Source organism: Homo sapiens, chromosome 5, assembly GCF_000001405.40.
Source record: "Homo sapiens chromosome 5, GRCh38.p14 Primary Assembly".
In the NCBI taxonomy this organism is placed as follows: Eukaryota; Metazoa; Chordata; class Mammalia; order Primates; family Hominidae; genus Homo; species Homo sapiens.
The window spans coordinates 114,292,850-114,314,795 of record NC_000005.10 but is presented as its reverse complement, the minus strand read 5'-3'; the positions used below and the strand labels follow the sequence as shown (position 1 = coordinate 114,314,795).

The window sequence follows — 21,946 nt, the reverse complement described above, 5'->3', positions numbered from 1 at the left end:
AATGTGCAAGAAGGAGTCACTTGGCAAGTGAGTGGGCCTGGGTTATCTCTAAACAACTACACTTCAGGCTGGCTATTATTATTCTACACTTTGGCTGCCTGTACAATAACTTTTTGGTGGTAAAATTTATATTCTTTCTGAAAAGAAAATCTTCTGCTAGTTCAGTGAGGAAAATGAAGGGAAAATAACATAAGTAAAAGGCATGCTTCTCAGCCAGAAAGTAAAAAATTTTTAAAGTGAAAAGTTATATGAGAAATGGCAAAAATATAGAGAGGATTAAAAAGATCAGAGGTTGCCAGGGTTTAAGGGTGGGGAAAAGAGGAATAGGTAAAACATGGGACATTTTTAGGGTAGAAAAACTGTATGACACTGCAATGGTAAATATATGACATTACATATTTGTTAAAAGCCATAGAACAGTGCAACACAAAGAGAGAACCCTAACACACAATATGGACTTTAGTTAACAAAAGTGCATCAATATCAGTTCATCAATTGAAACAAATGTTCCACACCAGTGCAAGGTGTTAATAGCGAAACTATGCAGGGGGGAAGTGATATATAGGAACTCTGTGTGTATTTTCTGCTCAACTTTTTAGTAACCTAAAATTGCTCTAAAAATAAAGTCTATTAATTTTATTGAAAAGTTGTTAGGAGGCGGCTCCCACCTCATTTTGTTCATGTCCTATACAACATGAACAGCTACACAAAAACTGTAGAAACAAGAAAAGTGATCCACGAAATCATTTTAGTGAGTGCTACTCCCTGTGCCAAAGCTGTTGATCAAACCGAAAAAGAAACGTTCATCGAAGTTGATTAAGTAGTTATTTGGTTTTGTCAATAACAACAAAAAAACACTGTTTAACTAAAAAGTGATTTTAGAAGAAGCAAAAAGCCCGTAAAAACATTTCATGAAGCAACCAGTGAGACTTTGAGACTGATTCTTATGAATTACACTGACCTTTTCCATGAGTAAACTTTAGGAAGTATTCCATGCTATGAAATTAATAGGAGAGAACCACTTAGCTGCAAAAGCCTGTCTTCAGAGTTAAAGAGAGGAAACAGACATATATTAAAGGGAAGATGCCTTTTGCAAATGTGCTTATCCAAGAAGGAAAAAGATGATTTATAGTCTAAAGAGGCTGAAGGCAGAACATCTCCTTGGATATCTTGTAGATTGGCCCAGATCTCAGGGTCACCTTCCTGAGTGAACTGCTGTGACCAAACTTCGTGCTTCTGTGAGTACATTTCATCTTCATCTTCATCTTTGTCCACACGTCAGCACCTTTTTATCATCACTGTAGCAGTTTTGCTGATTTAAGTTACTAGCAAAAGAATATAATGTAATACAGGATTGAGCTTATTTTAGTTGCTGGCTTTGTTTCTGTAGCTATATACATACAAATGACTTAAGCTTGTACATCTAGAATTATTAAGGGTCTGAAGAGTTCAATTAAAATTTTCAGCTATAGTTAACTGTTGTGTGGAGGGGGGAATTAAATGTTCCTTGAAGTTAATAACTGAGGATTCTTGAAGACCTTGGGAAGATTCCCTTGTGAATGAGAAGGTCTACTTTAATTTGAAGGAGGTGACAATCTTCAATGTTCCAGCAGATGGAAACAGGAAAATGAAAAATCTATGGCTTTCAGAATAAATGTCTGAATGATGAAGCTAAATGTACAGTACAGGAGCCATGTAAGTGGGAGCCAAATGAACAAAAACAAAGGGAAAACATAACAGAGACTCAGACTAATATTCCTTTTTCTACAGAGATCAAAACAAGGTTCCAGAGAGGCAGGGTAGCTTATAAATATAACAGCAATACAGCAAATGAGAAAAACGTGTTTCTAGCTTAAAATGTAATTAACTAGGCACTGTGCAATTACTGACAACTTGTGTTTTCCAGTCTTATCACAGATCTTCCTTGGGCTACATATGTTACTGAGAAAATTAGCCATGTTACATAGCAATAACATTAAAGGCATCACTTTGAAAGGCAGCACATAAAATAAACATTGCCTTGAAAACTGGGAGGTTGCTAGGAAATTATGTCAAGTGCAATCCTCTCCAGTTATATCTGATTTTTCCATTTTATTTCTTCCACAATCATTAGGGCTTAACCCCTAGAGGAATTTACACAAGGATAGCTTACATACCTCTGCAAATACAAATTTTCCAGGGGTTGCATTCAACACTTAGAAGGGCTTAGACATTACTGCTAAGAATTTTGGGCAGAGTAAACTGTTCTGGAAAAGGGCAACACTTGGGTTCTTGACCATATGGGGGTTTGTACAAGAGAAGATGGACTAGGCTGGATCCATATATATATATATATATATATATATATATATATATATATATGTGTGTGTGTGTGTGTGTGTGTGTGTGTGTGTGTGTGTGTGTGTGTGTATCTCCTTTTTTATTTCACAGGATGAATCAAAGGAGAAATGTCTTAGGGGCAAGCCAAATCAAGTGATTTGAGTTATTTTAAGAAGTAATTTATTGCATTGGTTGCCAAATTGAAAATGCCTGGACAGCCTGTTCAAAAAGCCAGCAGCAGGAAGAAAAGAGATTGTTCCAAAAACTCACGCCAAGAAGCAAGAAGAGAGCTGGGGCAGCACCCCTCTTGTGAATTAGCATTACAATGGCCCTACTCACCAGGAGGCTCTGAAAGCCAGAGAGATTTCTCTTACCATGTCTTCTAAGAGCTTTCTTTCCATTCATTCTATCCACTCACTAGAGGTAGATCCCTGATTCACTGATATGAAAAGAAGTGGATAACAGGTAAATAATTCATAGTGAGGTTTGGATTTTCTTTCCATATTAATAGCTACTGTGTGTACTGCACTTTCAGAATCCAAAGCATTATTGCATTCCTCATTTTATTAGGCCTCATGGCGCCACATGAGATAGCATGAGTTTTCTCATTTATAGATGAGGAACTGAGGCTCAGAGAAATTGTAACTGGTCCAATCTTTCAAATACAGAAGGTGGCAAAGCAAGAACTTGAAAACCCAAATTGAATGTACTGAAATTGAAACCAAAGATTCATCTCTAATCTATGCAGAAAGACCTTATTAGTTACAACAGTAATAAACTGAGCATCTAGTAAATGGCTAGGTAAATGGCACCTAGCTCTGTGCTAGGTAGCCTGCACAAAAAGCTTGATAAAACCAAAGCAACTGAAAAGAGAAATCTTCAGATCAATGCAAGGCACAAAGTAGAAAGAGATGACATGAGAATAATTTTCTGAGAGAGAGGGAGCCTGCCAAAAACAGTGAAAATACATTTTTTAAAAGGAGAATTATAATTTCATCCAACTATAAAGGAAAAAGACTCTGCCAAGGGGAAGTCGCCAAATGCAGCCGTTTGCTGAATAGGTTCCACATCCATGGTTGTGGCTACTAAACTATTGAGCTTCTTATTTTATAAAGTAGTCATTGCTAGTAGAATCACTTTAATTTCCAGAATCTAAAGAGTAGCTTCATCAACACAAATGAGACAGTAAATGAAAGACTATTTTATTTACATTTTTACCTCTTTCTTCAAATATGAGAAATATGTCTGGACTAAGTCACTTTGAGCCAGTGCCATTATCTTTTTAGGAGGAAATTTACCAACACCTAATATTAAAAATATATATATACATGCTTGATGCAAAGAGACGCAAGGTCAGCTTAAACAAAGTTCACTTAGGTTTCATGTTAATATAAGCTTATCTCACCAAGTCACTGCCCAAATTTGCAGAAAACTAGATTCTCCCACCAGAAATTGTCCATTTCTAGGCTTGTATGAGGCAGGAAACTGTCAAGAGGCAGCAAAAGAGGGTAGACTTTGATGAATAAACTCAAATCATCATGATATATTGTACCTTAGATAGTGCTGTACCTCATTTCCTGGTACACACTCGCTCCCAGAGAAAGGGAAATGAGTTTTGCTTTTTAAAAACAGAACATTTTACTAGACACATGGAACAGAATTGAACAGACTCCCATTTCATATGGCCCACTTTGCCCTCAGCTTCCAACTGTGCTTAATACACAGGAAAGTGCAATTTTATCTGGCCATTTTCATACCAAGTGTCACCTTCCTAAGAACTTATAAATTACGAAATATTCCTGTCTAATACAGTCACAGTTCCTATGTCCTATCTCTCTGTTCATAAGTTCCCAGTTTTCTCTGAACATATTTTAAAAATGGTCATTTGAAAAAAAATTAACCTTTGGAGTACTTCAGTGGGGATCCTGCACAGTCCCCCAGAACTGTGTTTCTAAGAAAATGACACATTCTACAAATATTGAGCTATCCTGTGTTTATTATTCAAGTATCAGATACTTTTAGTTTATCTGGTCCTCACTTTAATGTGTTTAATTTTTTTCAATAGAGAAAAGGAAATTAAATGTATTACTTCTGCACTGCTAACCTGCTCTTTCACAAAGGCATCTCTGAAAGGCAGCCTTGTGTTTGTGTTGGTCACTCCATTAACCATGTGGAGTACTGGGGCGGGAGCACTGTGGTTTCTGTGCATCATGGTGGCTCCATCTCTCTCGTGGTCTCTCCCTCTCTCTCTTCTTTCTCTCTTGTGTTGGTATGCAAACACAGAAGGGCACTTTGGCAAGAGGTGGAAAGAAGGATTTCACTGGTGAAAAAGAATCTCACAAGGTGAAGAGAATATGAATTTGTAAAATTTGCACTATGATATGCATGGAACAATAACCTATGACAGTAAATTGTATGTGCTAGAGAAGAGGCACAAAAAGTTTTAAGAAGGGTTAGGTCCTGCAACTTGAGAGGAGTAAGGAAAGTCTTTTGTGAAATAAACTGCATTTGGGTTGAAACCTGAAGGACAGCAGAGTTGTTCTCTCCACCTGTTGCCATTCCACCTCTATTTTCGTCTTTCAAAATCCAACCTATCCCTTCAGGGTTCAGTTTGGACTCTAGACTATCTGTAAACCCATTCCCAATGTCACACCTGTACCTGTTCATATTTTCTTTTCACTCTTTGAGCCAGGAGTCACTTTGCACTCCACTATGGCATTCATCATACTCATATTACACCTGTCTGTGTGTTTTATGGTTGACTCTCCTAGATAGCTAGTTCTTCCCCACTTTCCATATCCCTGTTAGCACCTAGCCTGGCATGAATGATAGGTCCCCAGTGGGTCTCTCTGACAAATGAATTAATGACTTTATCTGCCTTTGTCTTCATTACATCCACAGGCCTGTAGTGTCACTTGCCTGCCTTTCCTATAGAGGAATGATCTAAACAATTGTTGCCTCATGTCTCCTAATATTTGAGGAAAATACATTAAACTCACCATATACACAAAGCAATTTGGACTCAGGGCATGAGCTTTGTAATTTACATGCTGGTTTCTTACAGGGTAATATATAATTTGTGAGGAAAATCCAGTCTAAAAAACCTGCTGTTGTGTGAGCCTGCTTCCCGTGAGCAATAAAGCTGAATGCTGGAATTGGCCTTGATAATTGAGCCTAGTTATGTTACGGACCTTGAATCTAATTTTGAATCGCTATTTACCTCTGAAAAATACTGTCCCAATTTTGTCTGCCTTGGGTAAAACTGTTGGCCCATATGAAGCATTTAAAAGGTAATATGCAAGCTTTCAAATAGACATAAGTGAATAAATATAATTGCTAACAGTCTTCAAATTAAATAGATCTGCAGCTAGTTCACTAGTGATAAGAATATAAATCAGACAGTAAGATTAATTTAATTTTCAGCTCCTTCAGGCCAAAATCAAGTGTTAGAATTAAACATTCCAATTTCTTTAATAATTTTGAGTCACGGAGTAAATAAAGCTGTACAATAACCAATTCCTTTGACAGAGAGTTGTTAGAACACGAAAATAAGTTTTCTATACATTATAATTATTAGCAAAATTTCACTCTTCTCTTCAGAAAGGAATAATGTAGCATAATATTTTGGTTTTATAAATCAAGACTTGAAACAGAGAAATAGGGATTTTTAAATTTTTCATTTAGTCCTAATCCATCCATCTGTCCATCCATCCTGGTGTGAGCCATTAGCTGCGGGCTCTCTTGGTGAGTTGCACAACTATTATGCAACACTTAGCATCTTTCAGCTCCAACTCTCACTATACTCATTACCATTACCACCCATTCCATACTGGCTTTGGCCAGCTTCACACATGCTATGACAGTATCTCAACCTGAACTGTGTGCTATTGCTTCCTGTTCTAGTGGTTCTCTGATACTGAGGTGTGGTAACATGCTTGATACACATATGTAACCTAGAAGTTCAAGAGAATAAATGACCGTGAGGCTACTTTTGACAAATACAGGATCAAGCATCAGTCACCTGCAACATGGCCAACTTGATAATGCAATATTGTATAGTCTCTCTTCTTCTCTGCTTCACTTCCCAACTCCTTCATTCCCACTCTTTAGAATCACTTCCAAATTAAACTGCTCTTATACAAGGCTTCATCTCAAGCTGACTTTAAGGGAGACCAAGGATAAAACAGCAGGTATCAGGATTGGCTGTACAAAGATATGACAATGGGCTTTTGGAGCTAGATCCCCTACCAGTCAAATAGCAATGCAGATCCCATTGTTGATGGTCAGTGGGTGGTGGTAATCCCCAGCATGTGGTGGCATCACAATTGTTCTCAGCTGTGATAAATTGACATGAGCTAGATAGGAGAAACTTCAGCAAAGCCTGATAGGAAAAACATAGTTTCTTCTCGGGAGTAAATAATTTATACAACAAAGGGACTGGCTGACATATGCACATATACATATATATGTGTATGTGTGTGTGTATCAGGAGGAATGAGTAGATTATGTATAGGAGTGGATCATGAGGATTTTTGATTGGGGTATGGGGAGGAATCAAGCTGAATAGGAAGTATAAGGAGGAATTAAGCTGATGTTCAAAGTCCTGGCAGGCACCCATGGATCCAGTCCTAATATGCTGCTGGATGGTTCATTGAAGCTTGGCCTCAATGATGGCCAATATTAAATAAGGTGGAGATGCTAAAACTGTCTTGGCAGATTACTGAGGGTAGATGGCTTGAGGAGGTAGAAATGTTAGAATGAATTTATTATATACGATCAGAGAACTCACCCCTGACTATTTCCAGAAAGGTCTAGATAATTGTCCTTTCATTAAGGTAATCAGGAATACACTGGTAAGAGAATACTGACATCTTTGAGACCACAGTGAGAGTTGTCTCCTATAGGACACAGTTTACTATAAGAGATGTGACCATGGCACTGGGTTTTACAGTATCAATGAGGCTATGATTCTAGAATGGCAAAAGTAAGGTGGGTGGCATTTAAGCATCAGAGGAAAGGTTGACAAAATTATCAGAACAGGCAAGAAGGCCAGACCGGCGTAGCAATCAGACCCACAGGACCTAGCATTACTAGGAGCAATACATATATAAACATACATAATTAGTGTGTTGCTTATTTCTTTTAAACCAGGAGTTGGTGAGCAGAATGATAATGTCAGTTGCTGCAATGCAATAAATCAGGATTCCTCATTCAGTCTCCAGATCTAAGTTAGTTCACAGACTGAGAACCCACTGACTGATGAGGAGGCTGGGAGAACTTGAGATAACCCAATGACACCATAAATGTGTAAATAAATATTCTTATTATCCTTTCTTGAAAACACCTAAAGCCACTTACAGATAACTGCACTGGGTCAAAGATAATATATAGACTTTGCAAGGACTATGGAACACAGGGTCTAACACTGATACTAGGGGAACCAAAACATGATCACAGCCCCTTTATTAAAGCCCCTTTATTAAAGTGGCTCATACCTGTAATCCCAGCACTTTGGGAGGCCAAGGTGGGTGGATCACCTGAGGTCAGGAGTTCAAGACCAGCCTGGCTAACATGGCAACACCTCGTCTCTACTAAAAAAATACAAAAACTTAGCTGGGAATGATGGTGTGTGCCTGTAGTTCCAGCTTCTCAGGAGGCTGAGGCAGAAGAGTCACTTGAATCTGGGAGGCGGAAGTTGCAGTGAGCTGAGATCGTGCCACTGCACTCCAGCCTGGGTGACAGAGCGAGACTTGGTCTCAAAAAAAAAAAAAAAAAAGAAAAAAAAAAAATTTAAGTGTGAACTGATGAAAGGTGGGTAGTAAAGGTACTTCTGCCCTAAATACATTTCCATCAGGTCCTCAGACCCATCCTGTGGTTATTTTCCTGGTCCCTAAAAGTATAATTGAGCTACATATCATTAGTATCTAGCAGAACTCTTACTTTTGTTCTCTGACCAGTAAAGCATGAATCATTTTTGTAGAAAGAGCCAAATGAGAGCCTTATAACCACCCCACCTCCAATTACATAGCAAATTAGAAACAATGTCATGTTCCAGAATTGCAGAGATTAGTATCACTACCAGGGACTTTAATTCAATTTATCTGTTTGGCCTCTGCAAAACCAGATACAGCATGATACATGATAGTGGGCACCTATAAAGTTAACCAAGTAGTAGCCCCAGTCACAGCTGCTGTGCTGAATGTGCTATCCTTATTGGAGAGATCAACATAGACTGTGGCACTTGGCAGGCAGATCTGGTGAATGCTATATAGCTGGCAAATGTGTCTTTCTTAATCACCATCAGTAAAGGAAATCAAAAGCAGTTTGCTTTTATGCAGTAAAGATACCAGTTCAAATTCACAGTGTTGCTCCAGGGCTATGACAACTCTACTTCTCTCTGTCATAATGCAATCTATAGAAACCTTGATCACCTTGACATACCAAAGAATATTATGCTGTTTCACTACAGTTGATGACATCATGTTATTAGACCTGATGATCAGAAAACAAAAATTACCCTAATAAAAAATATGCATGCCACAGGGTAGTGTTTAATCCCTCTGTCACTTACAAGTATATTGCTTTATCTGCCCTTTTAGACCTATAAACCTATTTTCTGGTAGTGGACTGGAAACATTTAAGAATCTCTCCTTTGCAGTGAGCATGTTAATCTTTGTCAATAGAGGGCACTGGAGGGACATTTCAGGAGAAAGGGGTTTCTCTTCCTGGTCCAGTTGTGCTGCTGTTTTGCTTCTTTTTGTTCCTACTGTGCAACTAGCAGAAGAGAGTGTGTGTGTATGTATGTGTGGACATCCAGCAGTGCCTTGCCATAGCAGCACCCCCAGTACCCACAATCCCTTTGGGAACTTGCAGCCTCAGCCCTAGCCGTGGCCCAGAGACCATCTGGCTGAGGCCCTCTGGATGTATATACAGATCCTCAGGCTCTGTGCTACCCTGAAGGTGAGCAAGCTCCTGATGCCCTGACTCCCTTGACCCATCCACAGCCTGGAGGTTTATTTCTCTTGGTACCCCAACACAGAGATAACATACATCCCAAGGAAGGAACCCCCACTCCATGTTAAGCAGGCTCCTGAGCCTAACACTCTATGTGAGCCCACCCACCAGCCTGCCTTGGCCTGCCTGCATTCCAGAGAGGTATCTCCTGTTTGTTCAGAGATCGTAGGCCATCTCTGGCCTAGGCAAACCAGTGAATTTCTTTACCATCCAGGAAGCTGCAACTAACTGCACCTTTTCTGAGAATTTGAATCCCAGCCTTGCTGAGGAGACTACCCCCTGCCCCTACCAAACACGATTATTTTTCCCTTGCATATTTTCCTTCAACGTTAGGCTATCCTCTAGAGTTCTGTTTAAATCTTTATAGTCTCCTATTATAGTTAAGAATTTCTAATATTAAACTTTCCCTGTTCAAATTATTGTGTGGTTTCCATCTTGCGATTAGACGCTGACTGATATAATCTTAAAAAAAATCAGCAATCTGTTATTTTGGCAAATACTTTAGAGGCCCAGTGGTCAAATGGCAGGCAGAGTCATCCTCTCCAAGGCAGAAGACAAAGTGTTGCAACTCAAAACCCTTAACACTCAAAAGCAAGCACAGCACTTGGTAGATATCATTGGATTTTGAAGGTAACATGTACACTACTTGGGAAAATCTCTCTGACCTATCTTTCTGAAGACTTGAAAAGTTCTCAATTTTGAGGGGGTTCCATGGAAGAAGGGGTTCTGCTTCAGGTTCAGGTTATGGTACAAGCTGTCTGCCATTCTGGCAAGAGTTCTACTATTAGGGCTAAGGATGCTATGTGGAGTCTCAGCCCCAGAAGAGAATTGCAGCACAGACCCTTAGGATTCTGGAGTAAGGCCACACCTTTTGAGGCAGAGAACTACTTGCCATTTGATAAACAGCTTCCAGCACGCTAGTCTGCCCTGGTCAAGATGAAGCACTTGATGATGGACCATCAAGTGACTGTGTGATCCAAGTTCCCATCATGAGCTGGATATTATAAGATTCGCCAAATCATAAGGGTGGGTAGGCTCAGTAGCAATCAACTGCACTGCAAAAATGGTACATTCACATTTAGTCTGAGTGGGGCCAAAAGGCCTAAAGAAGTTGCATGATAAGATGGCCCAGACTCCCATGACACCTACCTTTTTTGCACCAACTCTCCTCCAATAATTTACAACTATGGCCTCGTAAAAACTGTCTTATAGCCAGCTGATGGAGGAAAAAAACCTCAAACCTGTTTCCCAGATGGGTTGGCCCGCTATGTTGGCTCTAGCTGAAAATAGGTTGCTACTGTCTATATCCCTCCCACCAGGAGTAGCCCTAAAGAACAGTAATGAAGGGAAATTCTTCCAGTGGGCAGAGCTTAGTCTAACTCTATTTTCTAACTACACTTTCCCTCTCTAAGTAATTTTATTCAAAATAAAGTATATAACAGTTAATTTCTTTTTATGTAAATGACTCCTAAATTATATCCCAGCCCAAACTTTTTCCAAGGGCAAGTCACAAATTTCCACCTGCCAAGAGGACATCTCTGCTGTGTATAGAATTGATTCCAGAAATTCTATATGTCAGAAATATATCATCCTTCCTTCTGAATCTACTCTATAATAACTTCCAAACTTCCTCAGTAGTTATGCTTTCATTACAATCTCATTCCTTTTTCTAGTGCCCTACCACCTATCAATCCCTAATTTCTATTGTCTTGCCATTCTACCTCTCTCAAATCTGTTTTATTCTACTATTTGCATTGCAACTTAAGTTATTAAGTATATTTTTATTGCTACTGGACCTACTGCAATGAGTTTTTATGTAGTCTCCTTAACCCTATGCACAAGATTATAAGATTTATTTTCAAAAAGCCCAAATAATGTACTGTCATTCTCTTTCTTCCAGTGAATCAGTGGTTCCGAGCTGTCAGGTTCAAGCTCTTTGGTTTGGCGTGCAAGCTCTGGCCTCTGCGTGCCTTTATAAACCAATTTTCACCAATTTCCCTTCATAAAGTCTTCCTACTTCAACACAAACTTGGGCTGTGTATTAAAGCAGAAACTACAGAGAGTTAAAGCCAAGTAAATCTGTGTTCCAATCACAGCCCTTCAGCTAAGTAACTGAGATCTTGGGCAACACCTTTACACACTGACTGTGATGTTCAGCATTTCTCATCTAAAAATTAGTATAATGAATACCTATCATAAAGCCTTGCTGAAAAGGTGAAATAATACATATAAAACGCGAAGTAGAGTGTCTGATACCAAGTAGGAAAGCAATAAATATGGTATACTGATTTCTTCTCCCTTTTTATATTTGTCCCAAGACGTATATTTATCCCTGCTTTCAGAAGCAGGCCAATTTTCCAAAGTCAACTTGCTCAATGGCCAGAATGCCAAATTGAATTGTCTTCCTGGCAAAATGTTTTCAGTACATCGACGTATATCGAAGTTTACTGCCTCTGGGCTTTGCTAAGATTGTTCTATCTGCCTGCATATTCCTGTCTATGGAGCCTCTTCTGGTCCTTTCCAACCAGAAGTTTTCTCTCTCACATTTGAAATTCCATAGAGGCTTGTGTTATCTCTCTCCTAAGTACAACCAGTATGGCCCTGAAATGCAGAGTAACACCTGCTTGGGTACTTTATTCAGCCGTCTTATGGCAGCTATATGATTGAGGCACTTCAGAGAAACCTTGTTCTAAACCCAGGCCTGGTTGTAAACTGTTTGCAATGATCTCATGCCAGAAGGCACCAAACCCTCCAGAATGCTCTACTTCTAACTGCCTCAGAACTCTCAAATTCAAGGGTAGAATCACAAGACCTAGGAAAAATCTCCTTTAATTTTTATTTCTCTAAGAGGGATGCAGTGTTAAATAAAATAAAATTTTGCTCTTTATTTTGCCTTTCTTTCTTTTGCCAACCACCCATTGTCATTTTTCTAATTACTTCCAAAACCCTAATACCTATCATTTTCTTCAGTTTCTTCCATTATAACTGTTATTCCAGGTAGCTCTCCTACTAGATGGAGAATTTCCTTATGATTAGATACCTTGTGCCTTTATATTTTGTCTGCAGTAGCATCTATCTAATACAATACCTTGAATATAGTAGGTCCTAAATAAATGTCTTTGGAATGAACAAATAAATGTTCATTGTATTGTGCTAGCCACGGTAGAAATATACACAAGACCTCAATCCCCAAGGAATTTATCTTGTAGGTGGAAACATAAATTATTTACAAATGTACTGTTAGTAACTATGCAAAGTCAAGCATGATTCTAAGTTCAACAGTACAAAAAGAAGGATAAGGTAGGTGAGATCAGCAACCCAGCTAAGAGTACTTTTGATCAGCAGCCTACCCTCTATCTGAAGTAGTTCTAATAGATACTTTCCAGTTTTTAGGAAGGTAGAACAAAATGGTAGAAATAGACTATTCCTCAAGTTTGACAGATACGGACAGTAGTTTTGTTTGGTGCCATTGAATGCCAAGCATCAGCATTTTCAAATCTAAAATAAGGATAGTAATTCATATCTCGCAAGGATTTTTTTTGAAGGGGTATTAGAGATAACATAAGTAAAGTGTTTTACATTTCCTGGTCACTTAACAAACCTCAGCTGTTACACTGCTTTAGTCAAATAAGCAAATGTAGTTTTGCCACAGCATAAAACCTGTCTTACTCTATGGGCTCAAATCTGTCCAGTGCTGAGTAGACTAATCCTACAGTCTTCTGTAAGTTTTTATTGAATAACTCCTCAGCCAAAAGGCTACCCAGGACTCAGACTCCTGTCTGGCAGAAGTGCTGTCTGGAGCCAATGGGGCAAGTTATATTAGTTTGGCTCCCACGCTGGCTTGTTCCCCGAGCCTCAGTGCAGATATGAGTGGGTAGCTGGAAACAGTTCCCACCTCCTGGAAAGGTGACTACCAGGGAGAAGGGGAGAATGGCAAGCCCAGATACAGACACTAAAAGGGTGTTTCATGGCACCAGCATTAGGGCAGAAATAGATTACAAGAGAGCTTTTTGTATACAGAGAAAAGACCCAAGAAACATGCGCTCGGGAGGCATGCGATGACAGAAATGACAATATGGACATTTATGTTATCAAATAATAATTCTAACCAGAATGAAGGTAGCTATCAGGTTTTAATTAATTTTCTTTATTTAATCCTCACAAGACATAGTGAGATAAAGTTTTTCATTCCCCTTTTACAGAAAAGGATACAAAGACAAAGATTAAATAAAAGTCCAAGGTTACAGAGCTAATAAACAGTAAATCTGCAATTCAAACTTTAGGAATCAGCAAGAATCACTCCTGGAAGAAAACAGTGCTATTGGAGACGTTATTTACATAGTAATGTAAGGACTCTCAAGAACAGTCTATAGGTCCCAGTTAGAAAACAAAGTAAAATTAAAAAAAAAATATTTAATAAAGGAAACTTTACTTTTCGGAAAAGATTTTCCAAAAAAGTTATTACTAAAAATAATAAATTTCAGCTTTCGCTTGTATTTTTACACCATGATCTAAAGGAAAATTAAATAAAACTCTTGTGATCCCCCATTTTGAGAGGCACTGATCCAGTCCAACACAGTCATGTGGGATAGCGCTAAAATTCAGGACAGTTCATTGACCTTAGAGCAGAAAATATGTGCTTTTAAAGTATTTTCTGAAGTTGATGAGAATTACATGAAGTACCCTCTTAAGGGAAATGATATTTGTAATCAACATTTATTCTTTAAAAATATGTGGATACACTCCTGTCAGAGCTTTGCTAAAGGAGCAGCTCATCAGAGAAAATATTCTACAATATAATCCATTACAACAAAAGCAAATAACTGAGAACAACTCCATTTCTCTTTTCCTTTTCTTCTTCTTATCAAACTTCTACTTATTCTTTAAGAATTATCTGGTCTCACTACATTTATGAATCATATCTGATCTTCCATTGCTATAACTTAATCTATCTTTTCCTTAGATCTCTATAGTGTTTAATGTCTGCATCATTCTTGACATTTATTATGGTAGCAAGACAATGTTTTGAAATATTCTCCAATGTAATTGCTTTAATTATGATTTCACTCTAAAGCCGTTCTGTAATTAAAACAAGGTCTGGAGGCTGAGACTGTTGTCCCTGGAAAGAAAAAAACAGAAAAGCACTCACTGAGAACAAAGAGTTGATTTCCATGCTTTTAACTCCAAAGCAGACTTTTAAAAACATATAGTAGAGGCAATAATCTTGAAAGTCACTTTTATGAAAGAGGTGAGAATTTGGGGAATTTTCAAAACTTGGCTTGGAAACCAAGAGCCAAAACCTGAAGGAAGAGGTCATACAGTTTTCCCAAAAATAAAATATTAGAGAATTCATGGTTTTGTAAGAAGGGAAAGGAGCGTCTGACTATGAAGAGGGTAGGAGGGCTGAGTATCTGGGAGGAGTGGAAAAAAAAACACCATTTTTGGAAGAATCACCACCAGGCTTTCTGGGGCATAGCCCCAGAAAGTCTCTTTTCCAGGTTGGAGATGACTTCTGAATAAACAGGTAACCAGCATCTGATACTGGAAGTTATTTTCAACATGACCCTGTGTGTAGGGAGTAATGACTGAGGGTGGTAGATGACTGGGTAGATAGACCTGGAGATATCTTCACAAAGTCCCACAGAACCTAACTGGGTTGCCATGGCCTCCTCAAAGGAGCACAGAAGTGGCTGAGGATAAACTGGAAGACTCAAAGGACCTGAAGTTGCAACAGATTACAAGGACCACATGGCTGGAGGCACTGGGTGAGACTAGAGCTATAAGCAGTGGTTGCCAGTGCCCAGAGATGGGACTAGATGGGATAGGCTGTGTCTGTATGGAGGTCAGTGAGCACAGATGACACAGATGTTACATCCTTTCCAGAGGATAGCAGTATACATTAGTACCTATCCCCCCAGAAAGAAACTGAATCCCAAGGAAGAGCAGAAGGAGGAAAAGGGAAAAAGAGAACTCTGAGAATTGTGTTTAAGCTCTTTACCTTTTATATTTGTTTATTGTTTTTAAACATTTAGAAATGGGGCTACACTCAGCACTGATAAGGAAAATCCTACCTCTTTTAGTACAGTAATGGATTCAGAAATGAGCCTGAAATTCAAGCCTAAGCCATTAGTGTATGGCATTCTCTGAGCCAAAGTAATTGATTCAGGAATGACCATCGGACCTAAGTTGCTCCCAACAGGATATTTGTGTATGTGTGAATGAGAAGACCTGTAGCCTTGGTGCTGCTGACAAACATAGAGGAGGCAGCCTTAGGATAAAACCAACCTTACAGATGCAGAGATGGAAAGAACAAGAAAACCAAAGAAAGAAAGAAAGAATAAGAGGAAGGAAGAAAGAAAAGGAGGGAGGGAGGGTGGGGGAGAAAGGGTTTCTTACTGACATTATTATACTGTTGAATTAACCTTCACCCTGAAAACAGCCCCAATACTGGGTTAATTACTAATAAATTCTATTTGTTATTCAGGTTTAATCAGGTGTTTCTGATAGTTTCAACTGCATTTCCTAATTTATACTGATAGTGATCAAATTTGCCTTGGCTGTATCTTACCAGCCTGTTACAGAGATTCCCCATGAAAAACACTATATCTGAAGTGAAGCCAAAAAAAGAGAGCGATCACACATGATGTAGAAAATCCTCACCACCATTATTACTTGTTAGTTTACATTTTTGTTTATAAAATAGTGAATTTGAATTATAGAATTTTGGAAAACAGAAAATTTGAAAAAGAACAAAATTAATCACCCATGGTTTTACTACCCCAAAGCAACATCTGGGTATATTTTGGCTTCCTTAATTTGATTCTTGGTTTCTATTCAGGATTATTTCTTATAGAATATTTGTGATGATATTTTATATCCTAATTTTGGATCCTGTTTTTTTCACCTAACAAGCAATTGTAGGGATAAACTCCAAAACCCTAAAGTCTGGAAAACTGACCTAAATTTGGTTTTTCATCTCCTGGTGATCACTTAGGGTATGCTGGGATTGCCACCAGTGTTGCAACTGGTGAGCCAGCAGGCCCTGGCTGAGTGAGGAGAAGAGCCGGGAGGTGCCAGGAGGGTTCACCAGGCTGCTGAATGACCTGGTGGTTCTTCACACTATCTGTGGCATCTACGGAGCAGGGTTCCCCTGTGGAGGGAGAAGGCACTAGAAGCTTGGTCCTCCAACTGAGAGTACTTCTGTGTCCCTTTCCTAGCAGAACCATCTCTGTGCAGTAAGTGGCATCTTTTGTCTACATTAAAGAACGTGTATTCTTTGCCAGTGTCTGCTGGTTTCTTTTCCTGAGCCTGTTGTGACAACCCTGCAGTAGATGATGATAATAACAGCATCTAGCATCTACGGAGCACTTACTTAGTATCAGGTACCTTTTAAGCAATTGACATACACTAACTCCTAATTTTCATGGTAATTATACAAAGTAAGTACTGTCATTTTACAGTCCATCATTTCCATTTTATATTTATTTATTTTTCCATTTTCTTTCAGGGAATGGAATATCATTTCCATTTCACGTATAAGGAAACTGAGACACAGGGGAAATAATCTGACCAAGGACACAGCTAAGAAACTTACGCTTTTACCACTGTGTTACAAGCCTTGTTATATACTGTAAACTTGTTATGTAATACATAATTTCTTGAATATTTTTCATGTTATTAAAACTCTGATAACATATTATTTTAATGTCTAAATCAATATTATATCCTTTATATAACCAGACCTCTATTATGAAATACTTAGATTGTTTCACTCTTTTATTTAATAAATAATGCTGTAGTAAATATATTTGCAAAGAAGGATTTTTCTGTATTTAGAGTTTTTGGAGGGATACATTCTCAGAAGCAGTATTATGAAGTTTAGTGGTATGACTATTTTAAAGCCCTTGAGTTATATTGCAAATTACTTTTCAAAGATGATGTACCAATTTACATACCTAATGTAAAGTAGGAGAGATGCCTCTTTCACTGAACTGTCACTGTCATCAAGTAGCACATATTCTTTTCTCTGAATAAAGAGCAATATTCAATATATCATTTCATTAATATATTGAATCAACAAAACTTTGATTTGCTTTTATATTTTATAATTAATAAATTATTTTTAAAGATTATTTCTCTATTTTAGAGACAGAGACTTGCCCTATCACCCAGGCTGCAGTGCAGTGGTGCAATCACAGCTCACTGTAACCTCCAACTCCTGGACTTAAGTGATCCTCCCACCTCTGCCTCCTAGTAGTTAGGATTACAGGCGCCACCACATTCAGCCACAGTTTTAAAATTTTGATAAAATAAATGATCTGAATAGTAAAATTAATACCTGAATATTCAATCCTATATTTAATACATTATATTGAATTACAGAAATGACAAATTAGTTATACTTTAAAAGAATTCAAATACTACAAAACCTTTCAAATATTAATTCTTTCATCAATACAATACCAAGCAAGTAGCTAAGGAGGAAATACTCACACAGAGCCCCTGAAATAAAATGACCTGCCAAGGCTGCATATAAATAGAATTATGACTAAATGTTTGCTTTGTTTCTTTCAATTAAGAGAAACAGTGAAGAATATATACATGAGGAAAAGGAAGAAATATATATTGTCACATTTTAATGTCAAAATATGAAGATGTTTCTCAAAAATTAAAAACAAACAATATTTACTTATTCTTTCCATTGGGTCTCTTGGTGCTTAGCTTAACTTTTAAATGCCCTTTCTAGTTGATGACCTAAACAAAAGCCTTGAAAAGCTATAAATAGTTCCATCCATTCTGCACCATGCTCCTGCCTCCCTCCTTTAGTGCTTATGGCCTCCCTTAGGAACGTGTTTGGGCCAGATGGCCTTCAGCCCAATTTCTTGTAAATATTCATTTTTAATGATAATAATTAAAAATACTAATTTGCTGTTACCCAAGGCCATTTCTACAGAGACCTCTTGGTGTTTCACAAATACTAATTAAGCCTCAGCAATGAGACTTTCTCTTCTAGTCTTACAAAATGCCTAAGGGTTTATCCCTAAAGCAATATTCTTAGCATAAACAATGACATCAGCAGCCGAGGCAAGATTCCAGCTTCTTCCTTCCATCAGGATGGTCTTCAGACATGAGGATGAACTCACATTGTTTGATACCAGTTTGGGCCCAAGATGCCACCAGGAGGGGACAATCAGTCTCTTTTCCAGGGTGGAGATGACTTCTGATAGGCTATAAGAGGTTACTCATTCTCCCTCCTTTAACTTAGAAAAACTATTTATTTATCTGATGGCTTAGAACAATGTTTTTCAAACTGAAGGACAAATCATTAAACAAGAGCTCTTAATCTAGGTTCTTTAGACCACCAGATAATCTGAGGATAGAGTACAGTATATCTATGAGCTTAGGTGGGTAAAACAATCACATCTTTATTTTTGTTAATACCAATAATACCACAGTAGTATTAGTAGTACTTATGACTATTACCAGCGGAAATTATAGATATTTTCATGGCACCTTAGGTTATGCAGGAATCTTGAAATATTATTTATCCATATTACTACTTTAGGATTATGGTAGCTTATTTCAAATTTTAATTTAAATGCTCATATATTGTGGTGGAGCCAAGATGGCCAAATAGGAACAGCTCCAGTCTACAGCTCCCAGTGTGAGCGACACAGAAGATGGGTGATTTCTGCATTTCCATCTAAGGTACCGGGTTCATCTCACTAGGGAGTGCCAGACAGTGGGTGCAGGAAAGTGGGTTTAGTGCATCGTGCGTGAGCTGAAGCAGGGTGAGGCATTGCCTCACTTGGGAAGTGCAAGGGGTCAGGGAGTTCCCTTTCCTAGTCAAAGAAAGGGGTGACAGATGGCACCTGGAAAATCTGGTCACTCCCACCCTAATACTGCGCTTTTCCAATAGGCTTAAAAAATGGCACACCAGGAGATTATATCCCGCACATGGCTCGGAGGGTCCCATGCCCATGGAGTTTTGCTGATTGCTAGCACAGCAGTCTGAGATCAAACTGCAAGGTGGCAGCGAGGCTGGGGGAGGGGTGCCTGCCATTGCCCAGGCTCGATGAGGTAAACAAAGCAGCCTGGAAGCTCGAACTGGGTGGAGCCCAACACAGCTCAAGGAGGCCTTCCTGCCTCTGTAGGCTCCACCTCTGGGGGCAGGGCACAGACAAACAAAAAGACAGCAGTAACCTCTGCAGACTTAAATGTCCCTGTCTGACAGCTTTGAAGAGAGTAGCGGTTCTCCCAGCACGCAGCTGGAGATCTGAGAATGGGCAGACTGCCTCCTCAAGTGGGTCTCTGAGCCCTGAGCAGCCTAACTGGGAGGCACCCCTCAGTAGGGGCACACTGACACCTCACACGGCCAGGTACTCCTCTGAGACAAAACTTCCAAAGGAACAATCATAGGGATGGAGGAAGATCTACCAAGCAAATGGAAAACAAAAAAAGGCAGGGGTTGCAATCCTAGTCTCTGATAAAACAGACTTTAAATCAACAAAGATCAAAAGAGACAAAGAAGGCCATTACATAATGGTAAAGGGATCAATTCAACAAGAAGAGCTAACTATCCTAAATATATATGCACCCAATACAGGAGCACCCAGATTCATAAAGCAAGTCCTTAGAGTCCCACACAACAATAATGGGAGACTTTAACACCCCACTGTCAACATTAGACAGATCAATGACACAGAAATTTAACAAGGATACCCAGGAATTGAACTCGGCTCTGCACCAAGCGGACCTAATAGACATCTACAGAACTCTCCACCCCAAATCAATAGAATATACATTCTTTTCAGCACCACACCACACCTATTCCAAAACTGACCACATAGTTGGAAGTAAAGCACTCCTCAGCATATGTAAAAGAACAGAAATTATAACAAACTGTCTCTCAGACCACAGTGCAATCAAACTAGAACTCAGAATTAAGAAACTCACTCAAAACCGCTCAACTACATGGAAACTGAACAACCTGCTCCTGAATGACTACTGGGTACATAAGGAAATGAAGGCAGAAATAAAGATGTTCTTTGAAACCAACGAGAACAAAGACACAACATACCAGAATCTCTGGGACACATTCAAAGCAGTGTGTAGAGGGAAATTTCTAGCACTAAATGCCCACAAGAGAAAGCAGGAAAGATCCAAAATTGACACCCTAACATCACAATTAAAAGAACTAGAAAAGCAAGAGCAAACACATTCAAAAACTAGCAGAAGGCAAGAAATAACTAAAATCGGAGCAGAACTGAAGGAAATAGAGACACAAAAAACCCTTCAAAAAATTAATGCATCCAGGAGCTGTTTTTTTGAAAAGATCAACAAAATTGATAGACCGCTAGCAAGACTAATAAAGAAAAAAAGAGAGAAGAATCAAATAGACGCAATGAAAAATGATAAAGGGGATATCACCACCGATCCCACAGAAATACAAACTACCATCGGAGAATACTACAAACAACTCTACGCAAATAAACTAGAAAATCTAGAAGAAATGGATAAATTCCTCCACACATACACCCTCCCAAGACTGAACCAGGAAGAAGTTGAATCTCTGAATAGACCAATAACAGGCTCTGAAATTGTGGCAATAATCAATAGCTTACCAACCAAAAAGAGTCCAGGACCAGATGGATTCACAGCCGAATTCTACCAGAGGTAAAAGGAGGAACTGGTACCATTCCTTCTGAAACTCTCCCAATCAATAGAAAAAGAGGGAATCCTCCCTAACGCATTTTATGAGGCCAGCATCATCCTGATACCAAAGCCTCGCAGAGACACAACAAAAAAAGAGAATTTTAGACCGATATCCTTGAAGAACATTGATGCAAAAATCCTCAATAAAATACTGGCAAACTGAATCCAGCAGCACATCAAAAACCTTATCCACCATGATCAAGTGGGCGTCATCCCTGGGATGCAAGGCTGGTTCAACATATGAAAATCAATAAATGTAATCCAGCATATAAACAGAACCAAAGACAAAAACCACATGATTATCTCAATAGATGCAGAAATGGCCTTTGACAAAATTCAACAACCCTTCATGCTAAAAACTCTCAATAAATTAGGTACTGATGGGACGTATCTCAAAATAATAAGAGCTATCTATGACAAACCCACAGCCAATATCATACTGAATGGGCAAAAACTGGAAGCATTCCCTTTGAAAACTGGCACAAGACAGGGATGCCCTCTCTCACCACTCCTATTCAACATAGTGTTGAAAGTGCTGGCCAGGGCAGTCAGGCAGGAGAAGGAAATAAAGGGTATACAATTAGGAAAAGAGGAAGTCAAATTGTCCCTGTTTGCAGATGACATGATTGTATATCTAGAAAACCCCATTGTCTCAGCCCAAAATCTCCATAAGCTGATAAGCAACTTCAGCAAAGTCTCAGGATACAAAATCAATGTGCAAAAATTACAAGCATTCTTATGCACCAATAACAGACAAACAGAGAGCCAAATCATGAGTAAACTCCCATTCACAATTGCTTCAAAGAAAATAAAATACCTAGGAATCCAACTTACAAGGGATGTGAAGGACCTCTTCAAGGAGAACTACAAACCACTGCTCAATGAATTAAAAGAGGAT

At 38.8% G+C, this 21,946-nt stretch overlaps 1 protein-coding gene across 3 annotated transcripts in view, besides 1 other annotated feature; it reads right to left on the bottom strand.

Annotated features, from left to right (window-relative positions):
* Positions 1 to 21,946, bottom strand: part of KCNN2 (potassium calcium-activated channel subfamily N member 2) — a 440,519-nt gene that overhangs the window by 181,701 nt on the left and 236,872 nt on the right. The gene's annotated exons all lie outside the window — the stretch shown is intronic.
* Positions 6,178 to 7,006: an enhancer, noted in NCBI's record as "OCT4-NANOG hESC enhancer chr5:113643487-113644315 (GRCh37/hg19 assembly coordinates)". NCBI's record gives its function as "activates a minimal SCP1, AML or CMV promoter by ChIP-STARR-seq in primed H9 embryonic stem cells {active_cell/tissue: H9 hESC(primed)}" and the evidence as "EXISTENCE:reporter gene assay evidence [ECO:0000049][PMID:30033119]".